Source organism: Homo sapiens, chromosome 16, assembly GCF_000001405.40.
Source record: "Homo sapiens chromosome 16, GRCh38.p14 Primary Assembly".
Classification (NCBI taxonomy): domain Eukaryota; kingdom Metazoa; phylum Chordata; class Mammalia; order Primates; family Hominidae; genus Homo; species Homo sapiens.
Genome location: NC_000016.10, coordinates 28,473,969 through 28,486,486, shown reverse-complemented (window position 1 = coordinate 28,486,486; position 12,518 = coordinate 28,473,969). Strand labels below are relative to the sequence as shown.

The 12,518-nt window shown below is 49.2% G+C and overlaps 1 protein-coding gene across 6 annotated transcripts in view; it reads left to right on the top strand.

Moving 5' to 3' along the window:
• The window catches only part of CLN3 (CLN3 lysosomal/endosomal transmembrane protein, battenin), a 25,430-nt gene that overhangs the window by 5,596 nt on the left and 7,316 nt on the right, over positions 1–12,518 (top strand). For 3 of the 6 annotated variants that reach the window (NM_001286104.2, NM_001286105.2, NM_001286110.2), the window contains 8 exons: positions 1–140; positions 2,369–2,481; positions 3,815–3,861; positions 3,942–4,010; positions 4,105–4,160; positions 4,289–4,382; positions 8,610–8,750; positions 8,852–11,136. The exon at positions 1–140 is cut by the window's left edge and continues 4 nt beyond it. In NM_001286104.2, coding sequence (NP_001273033.1) covers positions 1–140; positions 2,369–2,481; positions 3,815–3,861; positions 3,942–4,010; positions 4,105–4,160; positions 4,289–4,382; positions 8,610–8,750; positions 8,852–8,971 — 780 coding nt within the window. In that variant the 3' untranslated portion in view covers positions 8,972–11,136. Of the gene's footprint in view, positions 141–2,368; positions 2,482–3,814; positions 3,862–3,941; positions 4,011–4,104; positions 4,161–4,288; positions 4,383–8,609; positions 8,751–8,851; positions 11,137–12,518 lie in introns of those variants that run through there. The other 3 variants (NM_000086.2, NM_001042432.2, NM_001286109.2) reach the window with 2 other exon arrangements.

Sequence of the window (12,518 nt, the reverse complement as noted above, 5' to 3'; positions counted from 1 at the left end):
GTGATCTCCTGGTGGTCCTCAGGGACTGGGGGAGCTGGGCTGCTGGGGGCCCTGTCCTACCTGGGCCTCACCCAGGCCGGCCTCTCCCCTCAGCAGACCCTGCTGTCCATGCTGGGTATCCCTGCCCTGCTGCTGGCCAGGTGAGCTGCCCTGAGCCGGGAGGGAGAGGGGTCCAAGGAGAGAAAACTTGGCCATGGCTGGGTGTGGTGGCTCACGCCTGTAATCCCAGCACTTTGGGAGGCCAAGGAGGGCAGATCGCCTAAGGTCAGGAAACCAGCCTGGCCAACATGGTGAAACCCCGTCTCTACTAAAAATACAACAATTAGCCAGGTGTGGTGGCGGGTGCCTGTAGTCCCAACTACTCAGGAGGCTAAGGCAGGAGAATCGCTTGAACCCCGGAGGCAGTGGTGGCAGTGAGCCGAGATCGTGCCATTGCACTCCAGCCCGGGCGACAGAGTTAGACTCTGTCTCAGGAAGAAAAAAAAAAAAAGAAAGAAAAGAAAACTTGATTATGATTGCAATCTTCAAGTCCCTACCTTGCTGTGAAGGGAGGCGGAATCTGGACTCTGATAGCCCCAGGTGTGAGTCCTGGAGCTGCCACTTTTTAGCTTTGTAGCGTTGAACAAGTTACTCCACCTCTCTGAACCCTCAGTTTCCCCATATCTCAAATGGCAGTTGTTCTTGCTTTCCTTGGAGGTGATGAGGGTAATGCATTCAGCACAGTGTGGTTCCCAAGGTGATTAGAAGTAGGATGAGGGTGGACTTTATTTGATTAGTTCCTTTTTTTTTTTTTTTTTTTTTTAATCAGTGTTGACCAGGTTGGCCTCGAATGTGTAGCCTTGCCTGCCTGAGTGCCAGGGCAACAGGCCTGAACCATGGCGACTCCCTTTTTTTTTTTTTTTTTTTTTTTTTTTTGAGACGGAGTCTCATGGTGTCACTCAGGCTGGAGTGCAGTGACTGGTGTGATCTCAGCTCACTGCAGCCTCGGCCTCCCGGGCTCTAGTGATTCTCCTGCCTCAGCCTCCCGAGTAGCTGGGACTACAGGCCCATGCCACCATGCCTGGCTAATTTTTTATATTTTTAGTAGAGACGGGGTTTCACTGTATTGGCCAGGCTGGTCTCAAACTCCTGACCTCAAGTGATCCACCTGCCTTGGCCTCCCATAATGCTAGGAATACAGGCGTGAGCCACCGCGCCCGGCCTGATTAGTTCTGTGTATTTTCATGCATATTACAAAACACTTTGGCCGGGCATGGTGGCTCACATCTGTAATCCCAGCACTTTGGGAGGCCGAGGCGGGCGCACCACGAGGTCAGGAGTTTGAGACCAGCCTGGCCAATATGGTGAAACCCCGTCTCTACTAAAAATACAAAAATTAGCCAGGCTTGGTGGCGCTTGCCTGTAGTCCCAGCTACTTGGGAGGCTGAGGAGAAGAATCGCTTGAACCCAGGAGGCAGAGGTTGCAGTGAGCCGTGATTGTGCCACTGCACTCCAGGCTGGGCAACAGAGCGAGACTCCGTCTAAAAAAAAAAAAAACACACACTTTGAACTAGCCAGACACACCTGGCCCTTCACAAGATTAGTGCTTAGGACAAGTCTAAGTAGAAAAAGTGAGTCCATTTAAAGAAAAATATTAAGTAAAAATATATATATACAGGAGGAATATGGATATGGCAAATAACATGAAGCCAGAACCTAAGTGACTAAAATCGAGGAAGTTCTGGCCTAGCACAGAGTGAACGTATAATTAATGGGAGCTAGAGCGACCATTAGAATAATAATGGCCAGAAAACAGAACTGACTCGCTAGGTATGAGCCAGCAGTCCGAACAAGGGCCTGCTGAGCACAGTGGCTCACAGCTGTAATCCCAGTGCTTTAGGAGGCTGAGGCTGGAGGACCACTAGAGGCTAGAAATTTGAGACCAGCCTGGGCAACATAGCGAGACTCCATTTATACAAAAAATGGAAAATATGAGGCGGGCTTGGTGGCACGTGCCTGTAGTCCCCGCTACTTGGGAGGCTGAGGCGGGAGGATTGCTTGAGCCTGGGAGGTCGCGGCTGCAGTGAGCTATGATTGCACCACTGCATTCCAGCCTGGATGCTGGAGAAAGACCCTGTCTCTGAAAAAAATCAAAACAAAATGAAGGCCCATGAATAGGAATAAGGAGATAAATTCAGGTCCAAAGAAAGAAGCCTTTGTCCACAATTGGAGCTCTCCCGCACAGCGTAGGAGCCTTAGAGGCAGTGAGCTACCCATCTTTGAAAGTGTTCAAAGGTAGAGGTGTTCCCTGGGAAAAGTGGCCTAGATGGTCCCTGGGGACCTTCCCAGCCAGTAGGGTTTTCTGACCCTGCCTTCATCCTACTCCTAGCTATTTCTTGTTGCTCACATCTCCTGAGGCCCAGGACCCTGGAGGGGAAGAAGAAGCAGAGAGCGCAGCCCGGCAGCCCCTCATAAGAACCGAGGCCCCGGAGTCGAAGCCAGGTAGGAGACACAGACCCTCAGAGAGGTCACTTTCTTTCTCTCTGGGTTTGGCCTTTTCCTCTCTGCAATAGGCAAAGTTAAGAGGGGAAAGAGAGTGAGTGTACTGGTTATGGGAAAAGCCTTTGTCTATTTGAGAAATACTTGTTGAGGACGAGCACAGTGGCTCACGCCTGTAATATCCCAGCACTTTGGGAGGCTGAGGCAGGAGGACCACTTGAGCTCAGAAGTCTGAGTCCAGCCTGGGCAACAGAGCAAGACCTTGTCGCAAAAAAAAAAAAAAAAAAAAAAAAAAGAAAAGAAAGGAAGGAAGGGAGGGAGAGAAGAAGGGATATTAATTGAGTACTTACCATGTGCCAGGCATTCCAATCACAAGTGCTGAGGCCCTGCGGTGGGGATAAGCTGGGATGTTCTAGAACCAGAGAATGGCCAGTGAGACTGGGCAGGGTGGGCCAATGGCCATCTGTGGAGCTGTACAAGAGACATTGGCCGGGCGTGGTGGTTCATACCTGTAATCCCAGCACTTTGGGAGGCTGAGGCAGATGGATCATTTGAGATCAAGAGTTTGAGACCAGTCTGGCCAACATGGTAAAACCCCGTCTCTACTAAAAATAAAAAAATTAGCCAGGTGTGGTGGTGCATGCCTGTAGTCCCAGCTACTTGGGAAGCTGAGGCACGAGAATCACTTGAACCCAGGAGGCAGAGGCTGCAGTGAGCTGAGATTGCACCACTGCACTGCAGCCTGGGCAACTGAGTGAGACTCTGTCTCAAAAAATAAAAAAAATTAAAAATCAAAGAGACGTGAAGAGGTCTCACCTGGTTAGCTTTTATTTTCATCATGATAAAGTATGTATATTACTTGAAGTTTACCATTTTATTATTTTTTATCTTACTTTATTTTTTTGAGGTGGAGTTTCGCTCTTGTTGCCCAGGCTGGAGTGCAATGGCGCAATCTCAGCTCACTACAACCTCTGCCTCCTGGGTTCAAGTGATTCTCCTGCCTCAGCCACCCGAGTAGCTGGGACTACAGACACCTGCCACCACACATGGCTAATTTTTGTATTTTTAGTAGAGATGGGGTTTCTCCATGTTGGCCAGGGTGGTCTTGAACTCCTGACCTCAGGTGATCCGCCCACCTCAGTCTCCCAAGGTGCTGGGATTACAAGCATGAGCCACTGCGCCCAGCCATTTTAACCATTTTTAAGTGTCCAATCCAGTGGCATGGAAGTGAGTTCCCACTGTTGCGTGGTCTGGTTAATTCTGTCATACCGGTGCCTCTTTGCCGAGTCTTCAGTGTGAAAACTTCATCTGCCCTTCTCTCTCTGTTCCCCTGCAGGCTCCAGCTCCAGCCTCTCCCTTCGGGAAAGGTGGACAGTGTTCAAGGTTCGGATGATGGCTGGGGTATGTCCCTGTGGGGCTTGCTCACCTCCAGGCCCCCCGCTTATATCTTCTGCCTTTTCCAGGGTCTGCTGTGGTACATTGTTCCCTTGGTCGTAGTTTACTTTGCCGAGTATTTCATTAACCAGGGACTTGTAAGTGAGGGGTGCTAGGAGGGGTGTGGAGGTGGCGATTGGGGCTGGGACCCACACAGCCCCGTCCATCTCCCCTGTCTGGTATTTGTTGCAGTTTGAACTCCTCTTTTTCTGGAACACTTCCCTGAGTCACGCTCAGCAATACCGCTGGTAAGAGGAGCGAGGGCAGTGGGCTGGGAGGGCGCCGTGGTGATGCAGCTGCCCTGCCCAGTAGGCACCGGGGGGAGCGGGATGGTCCCTGGAGGAGCCTCCTCTCCTCCCCCCAACCCTAACCTCAGGTACCAGATGCTGTACCAGGCTGGCGTCTTTGCCTCCCGCTCTTCTCTCCGCTGCTGTCGCATCCGTTTCACCTGGGCCCTGGCCCTGCTGCAGGTACCAAACCCCTGCCCCTCACTTCACTCCCACCTTGGCTCCCAGCTTGGCTCCCAGCTTCCCCAAACCCCCTGCTTCCCACTATCAGTGGGAAGTGTAAATTTTTTTTTTTTTTTTTGAGACAGAGTCTCGCTCTGTCGTCCAGGCTGGAGTGCAGTAGCGCAATCTTGGCTTACTGCAACCTCTGCCTCCCGGGTTCAAGTGACTCTCCTGCCTCAGTCTCCTGAGTAGCTGGGATTACAGGCGCCCGCCACCATACCTGGCTAATTTTTGTATTTTTAGTAGAGATGGGATTTTGCCATATTGGCTGGTCTTGAACTCTTGACCTCAGGTGATCTGCCGGCCTCAGCCTCCCAAAGTGCTGGGATTACAGGGAAGTGTAAATTGTACACTATCATTTCTTAGCACAGGGAACCAAAGTCCAGCAGAGCTCCATGTAAAATGTATAGCCTCAGGAGCCAAGCAAAACTGAGCTTCAGTACTCAGCCACTGTGTGACTTAGGGCAGGTCTCAGAACCTCTCTGAGCCTCAATTTCCTCATGTATAAATTGGGTGTGGCCAATACCTATTTTTCAGGGTAGTTGTAAGAAATAGAGATGAGAGAAAGAATCGAAGAACAAGATTTTGTAGTGTGTGTGTGTGTGTGTGTGCGTGTGTGTGTGTGTGTGTGTGTGTGTGTGTGTGTGTTTTAAGCATTGGGATTGGGCCGGGCCAGGTGGCTCATGCCTGTAATCCCAGCACTATGGGAGGCTGAGGCAGGTGGATCATTTGAGCTTGGTAGTTCAAGTCCAGCCTGGGCAACATGGCACAATCACATCTCTACAAAAATTAGCCAGGTGCAGTGGCGCACACCTGTAGTCTTAGCTACTGGGAAGCTGAGGTGGGAGGATCACTTGAACCCATGAGGTCAAGGCTGCAGTAACCAAGGTCATGCCACTGCACTCCAGCCTAGGCAATAGAGCGAGACCCTGTCTCCCAGAAAAAGAAAAAAGAAAGGAAAAGTCGGAACCTTCCTCTGTCGCCTAGGCTGGAGTACAGTGGCATGATCATAGGTCATTTACCTCAGGCAAAGAGACAGGCTTTCAAATAATGTTTCTAACTATAAGAAAATGTACAGTTCTTTTATTCTAGATAGTTAATTATAATAGAATTGGTGACTTTGAAGTCAGTGGGTTATTTATCTTGAGGGTGGTGAGCAAATTCAACTGCCCTTGGCAAACAGTAGTTTACAGCTTTAAGGGCGCAAACACCCTTCCTTACAACAGTCTAATAAAAGGAGTTTCATATAACCAGCATTCATTGTTTCAAGGTTACAAATCCACAGCCCCTGCAGGTAACTGTTACAATAAACTGTCAACTGTGACAGGAAAGTCTTCTGCCTTTGAAATTTAGGAACTTGGCCAGTCCTGGTGGCTCACACCTGTAATCCCAGCACTTTGGGAGGCCAAGGCAGGTGAATCACCTGAGGTCAGGATCAGGAGTTTGAGACCAGTCTGGCCAACACAGTGAAACCCCGTCTCTATTAAAAATGCAAAAATTAGTTGGGCGTGGTGGCACCTGCCTGTCATCTCAGCTACTCGCTAGGCTGAGGCAGGAGAATTGCTTGAACTCCGGATATGGAGGTTGCAGTGAGCCGAGATTGCAGTACTGTACTCCAGCCTGGGCCACAGAGCGAGACTCCATCTCCAAAAAAAAAGACTTAGGAACTCAATTCTGTGATAGCAAAATACAGAAATAGAGATTATACTTTAGGCTAGGTGTTGTGGCTCACACCTGTAATCCCAATGCTTTTGGAGGCTAGGGTGGGAGGATCACTCGAAGCCAGGAGCTTGAGACCAGACTGGACAACATAGTGAGACCCCCCACCTCTACAAAAAATTAAAAAAAAAAATAAGCCAGGTGGGAGAATTGCTTGAGCCCAGAAGTTTGAGAGAGCAGCCTGGGTAACATCACGAGACCTCATCTCTACAAAAAACAACAACAGGGTGTGGTGACATTCACCTGTAATCCCAGCTACTCGGGAGGCTGAGGCAGGAGGATCGCTTTAGCCCAGGAGTTCCAGGCTGCAGTGAGCCATAATCATGCCACTGTACCCCAGCCTGGGTGAGACCCTATCTCAAAAAAAAAGATTACACTTTCATATTATGGCAAAAGCATGTAAATATCCTCCAGCCTCCTTCCTTATTTATCTGAGCAGTGCTGCAAGCCCAGGGTTTGTACCCACAAAACCCCAAATTTATAACTCAGGGTGCTTGTAGATACCACTGAAACATGTAGCTTATGGTTTTAAGCTACATGTTTTTAGCTATAATGTTTTTTGTTTTGTTTTGTTTTTTGAGATGGAGTCTCGCTCTGTTGCCCAGGCTGGAATGTAGCGGTGCAATCTTGGCTCACTGCAACCCCTGCCTCCCAGATTCAAGCGATTCTCAAGCCTCAGCCTTCCGAGTAGCTGGGATTACAGGTGCGCCACCACGCCCAGCAAATTTTTTGTTTTGTTTTGTTTTGTTTTGTTTTTTAGAGACAGAGTTTTGCTCTTGTAGCTCAGGCTAGAGTACAATGGCGTGATCTTGGCTCACTGCAACCTCCGCCTCCCAGGTTCAGGCGATTCTTCTGCCTCAGCCTCCTGCGTAGCTGGGATTACAGGCACGTGCCACCACACCTGGCTAATTTTTGTATTTTTTAGTAGAGATGGGGTTTCGCCATGTTGGCCAGGCTGGTCTTGAACTCCTGACCTCAGGTGATCCACCCGCCTTGGCCTTCCAAAGTGCTGGGATTACAGGTGTGAGCCACCACACCTGGCTAGAGGTGTGTCCTTTTTAATGCTCATCTTTAAGTCTACCTCAGATTTAATGAATTAGGACCTCTAGGGTAAGCCCCGCTTGGGGCATTTGTACCTAGATCCCCAGGCAATTCTTACATATACGAAAAGTATGAACCGCCACGAGGAGGCCTACACACTGCACAAGAGGCAATGTGGCGTGGTCAGTGCTGGGAGGATGGCACCTCCTTGAGAGACTGGGGCACAGAGGTGGGACCTACACCCTGGGGTGGGGATCGAAGAGGCTTCCTGGCCAGGTGCGGTGGCTCCTGCCTATAATCCCAGCACTTTGGGAGGCTGAGGCAGGGGGGCAGCGACTGCTTGAGACCAGGAGTTCGAGCCCAGCTGAATAGGATGCCCGGCTACTCCCACCTTGTTTTACCATAGTGAACCAACGGTTTTTCCAATAGGGGCAATTTTGCTGCCCAGCGGATGTTTGGCAACGTCTGCAGGCATGCTTTGGTTGTCACAACTGAGGGATGCTATGGGCATCTAGCGGGCAGAGGCCAGGGATCCTGCTAAATGCGCTGCCATATACAGGACAGCCCTCACCATGCAGAACAACCAGCACCAAACGCCAAGAGTGCTGCAATTGAGAAATCCTGGTTTCGATGGTCCCACTTCCTTTAAGAAGCCTCCATTTTTTTTTTTTTTTTTTTTTTTTTTTTTATGAGACAGGATCTTGCTCTGTCACCCAGGCTGGAGTGCAGTGGCACAATCATAGCTTACTGCAGCCTCCACCTCCTAGGTTCAAGCAATCCTCCTGTCTCAGACTCCCGAGTAGCTGGGACTGCAGGTGCGTGCCACCATGCTCAACTAATTTTTAAATTTTTTGTAGAGACGGAGTTTTGTTATGTTGCCCAGGCTGGTCTCGAACTCCTGGCCTCAAGTGATCATCCCACCTTGGTCTCCCAATGTGCTGGTATTACCTGCATGAGCCACTGCACCAGGCTGAGGTTGAGAATTTTTTTTTTTTTTTTTTGGGATGGAGTCTCTCTCTGTTGCCCAGGCTGGAGTGCAGTGCTGCGATCTTGGCTCACTGCAGCCTCTGCCTCCCAGGTTCAAGTGATTCTCCTGCCTCAGCCTTCCAAGTAGCTGGGACTACAGAACCACTACACCCAGATAATTTTTGTATTTTTAGTTGAGATGGGGTTTTACCATGTTTAGTAGAGACCAGGCCAGGCTGGTCTCGAAATCCTGACCTCAGGTGATCTGCCCACCTCAGCCTCCCAAAGTGCTGGGATTACAGGTGTGAGCCACCACACCGGGCTGGTGTTGAGATTTTATCTAGACCTGGCAGCCCTCTCCTTCACCAGTAACTCCTAAAACCAGGGACCCCTGGAGGGGAGGCCACCTCTCCTTCCCTGCCCCGCCCTGGTCCCAGGCTTAGCCTCTCCCCCTGTTCACAGTGCCTCAACCTGGTGTTCCTGCTGGCAGACGTGTGGTTCGGCTTTCTGCCAAGCATCTACCTCGTCTTCCTGATCATTCTGTATGAGGGGCTCCTGGGAGGCGCAGCCTACGTGAACACCTTCCACAACATCGCCCTGGAGGTCAGCATTGGCCGGGCAAGGGCTGGGGGTGGCCTGTCCAGGGACACCCAGGGCAGGGATGTCTGGGACTGAAGCCTCACCCCTGCTCTCTGCCCTCCCAGACCAGTGATGAGCACCGGGAGTTTGCAATGGCGGCCACCTGCATCTCTGACACACTGGGGATCTCCCTGTCGGGGCTCCTGGCTTTGCCTCTGCATGACTTCCTCTGCCAGCTCTCCTGATACTCGGGATCCTCAGGACGCAGGTCACATTCACCTGTGGGCAGAGGGACAGGTCAGACACCCAGGCCCACCCCAGAGACCCTCCATGAACTGTGCTCCCAGCCTTCCCGGCAGGTCTGGGAGTAGGGAAGGGCTGAAGCCTTGTTTCCCTTGCAGGGGGGCCAGCCATTGTCTCCCACTTGGGGAGTTTCTTCCTGGCATCATGCCTTCTGAATAAATGCCGATTTTATCCATGGACTTCTTATATCGTTTTTGTCTCTAAAAAGAAACTTTTATTATGAAAGTAATACATGCCCACTTTCCTATATATAGACAGCATAAAGAAGGTATGTCAGCAGATTTCTCCCTTTTTTGTTTGTTTGTTTGTTTGTTTGTTTGTTTTGACAGAGTCTCACTCTGTCACCTAGGCTGGAGTGCAATGGCGTGATCTTGGCTCACTGCAACCTCCACTTCCCGGTTCAAGCAATTCTCCTGCCTCAGCCTCCCGAGTAGCTGGGATTACAGGTGGTCACTACCATGTCTGGCTAATTTTTATATTTTTAGTACAGACGACATTTTGCCATGTTGGCCAGGCTGGTCTCAAACTCATGACCTCAGGTGATCCGCCCACCTTGGCCTCCCAAAGTGCTGAGATTACAGGTGTGAGCCACTGTACCTGGCCTCTGCCATCTTTGAGGCCTTACGTATTCATTCATTCATGCATTCATTGTTTGGGACAATCTGTAAACAATCATGTTGGACATTCTTTCCAGCATGAAAGTTTTCAGAGAAGTGGAAAGAATTGTGCAGTGAATCATCCTGAGTATGCGCCACCCTGTTCTATGTTAACATTTTGTTACAGTTGTTTTATCATGTAGTCCAGCCCCCATCAAATCTATGTATTCACTGTTCCATCAGTGAGTAGATAGAGCTAATGAATGGCAGGGTTGGCACCTGAGGCATTTTATTTTATTATTTTTTTTTATTTTTAGAGACAGGGTTGCACTCTGTCACCCAGGCTGAAGTACAGTGGCACAGTCATGGCTCACTGTAGCCTTGACCTCCTAGACTCAAACAATCCTCACACCTTGGCCTCCCAAGCAGCTGGGACTGCAAGTGCATGCCACCAAGCCCAGCTAATTTTTTTTTTTTTTTTTGTAGAGACGCGATCTTCCTATGTTACCCAGGCTGGTCTTGAACTCTTGAGCTCAAGCAGTCCTGCCTTGGCCTCCCAAAGTACTGAGATTACAAGCATGAGCCACTGCTCCTGGCATCCTGTTATTTAGGTACAGTTTTTATACACAGTAAAATGTATAAATTGTTACATATTTTTACAGTAAACTGAGTCTGGGCCAGGCACTGTGGCTCACACCTGTAATCCCAGCACTTTGGGAGGCTGAGGCGGGCAGATCACCTGAGGTCAGGAGTTTGAGACCAGCCTGCACAACGTGACAAAACCCCGTCTCTACGAAAAATATAAAAAATTAGCCAGGTGTGGTGGCTTGCACCTGTAGTCCCAGCTACTTGGAAGGCTGAGGCGCAAGAATTGCTTGAACCCAGGAGGCGGAGGTTGTGGTGAGCTGAAATTGCACCACTGCACTCCAGCCTGGGCAACAGAGCAAGACTCTGTCTCAAAAAAAAAAACAAAAAAACTGAGTCTGACTTAGTGTTTCTCATACTTCATTGTTACCCTTTCTACTATATTTGCCATATCTGAACCTAACAGTACTTTTATTTACTTAATATTTTTCATTAAAGCAACTAACCTTTAATATACATTCAGTTATTTTAAAGGGAAACATTATTAAAATCATGAGTTTGAGGTGATATATATGTATTTTCTACTTTACTTTAAATAGTTATGTAACTATTGGAGTTTAAAATGAACATGCAAGTTCCCCCTGAGACTACTCCATTACGACCAGTGATGTTTGTGGACCCAGATCTAGGAAATGCTGACCCACTGGTTAATAGCATGGGCTTTGGGGGCAGAAGGAACTGACTTTCAGGTGCCAACCCTGCCATTCACTAGCTCTATTACCTTGGGCAAGTCACTTCACCTCTCTGCACCTCAGTTTCCTGATCTGTCCAATGGGATAATAGTAGCACCAGCATTTCATAAGTTGCTTTTGGAAACTACATGAGATCATGTCAACACTCAATAAACATCAGCTCTGATCATGCTATGATATGACTCCTGCCTCTCACCTTTGCATTGCATTATACCCGTGTTTCTCAAACCTTAGTGTGTACTGGAGGCCTTGTTTTTTGTTTTTGTTTTCTTGGAGACCAAGAGTCTTGCCCTGTCACCCAGGCTGGAGTACAGTGGCATGATCATAGCTCACTGCAGTCTCAACCTCCTGGGCTCAAGGGGTCCTCCTGCCTCAGCCTCCTGAGTATCTAAGACTGCAGGCACGCACCACCATACCTGGCTAATTTTTATATTTTTGGTAGAGATGGGGTTTCACCATGTTGTCCAAGATAGTCTTGTACTCCAGAGCTCAAGTGATCCACCCACCTTGGCCTCCCAAAGTGCCAGGATCACAAGTGTGAGCCACTGCACCTGGCCCTGCCTGGCTAATTTTTATTTTTTTTCTGTAGAGACGAGGTCTTGCTTTGTTGCTCAGGCTGGACTGGAACTCCTGGCCTCAAGTGATCCACCTGCTTCAGCCTCCCAAAGGTCTGGGATTATTACCCATGAGCCACCACACCCAGCCACAATATTTTATTTATCCATTTGTTAGTTGATGGATATTGGGGTTTCAATTTTTTGACTTAACTATGAATCATGCTGCTATAAATGTTTGGGTAAAGTTTTTGTGTGGACACATGTTTTCCATTTCTCTTGGATAATATCAAGGAGTGGAATTGCTGGGTTGATGGTAATTTTGTTTGATCCTTTGAGGAACTACCCGACTGTTTCCCAAAGTGGCTGCAATTTTACATTCCACTGGCAGTGTACGAGGACTCCACGTCCCCACCAATACTTGCTCTTTTCCATTCTTTTTCCACCGCAACCTCCGTCTCCCCGGTTCAAGTGATTCTCCTGCCTCAGCCTCCCTCTTTTTTTTTTATTTTTGAGACAGTCTCGCTCTGTTGCGCAGGATGGAGTGCAGTGGTGCTATCTCGGCTCACTGCAATCTCAGTCTCCTGAGTTCAAGTGATTCTCCCACCTCAGCCTCCCAAGTAGCTGGGATTACAGGCATGCGCCACTACACCTGGCTAATTCTTTTTTGTTGTTGTTTTTTGTTTTTGTTTTGTTTTGTTTTTTCAGATGGAGTCCTGCTCTGTCACCAGGCTGGAGTGCAGTGACGCAGTCTCTGCTCACTGCAGCCTCCGCTTCTGGGTTCAAGCTATTCTTCTGCCTCAGCCTCCCAAGTAGCTGGGATTACAGGCACCCACCACCACACCTGGCTAATTTTTGTATTTGTTATGGAGACGAGGTTTCGCCATGTTGGCCAGGCTGGTCTCCAACTTCTAAACTCAGGTGATCCACCGGCCTTGGCCTCCCAGAGTGCTGGGATTACAGGCATGAGCCACCGTGCCCAGCCTCTTTTCCGTTTTTGTT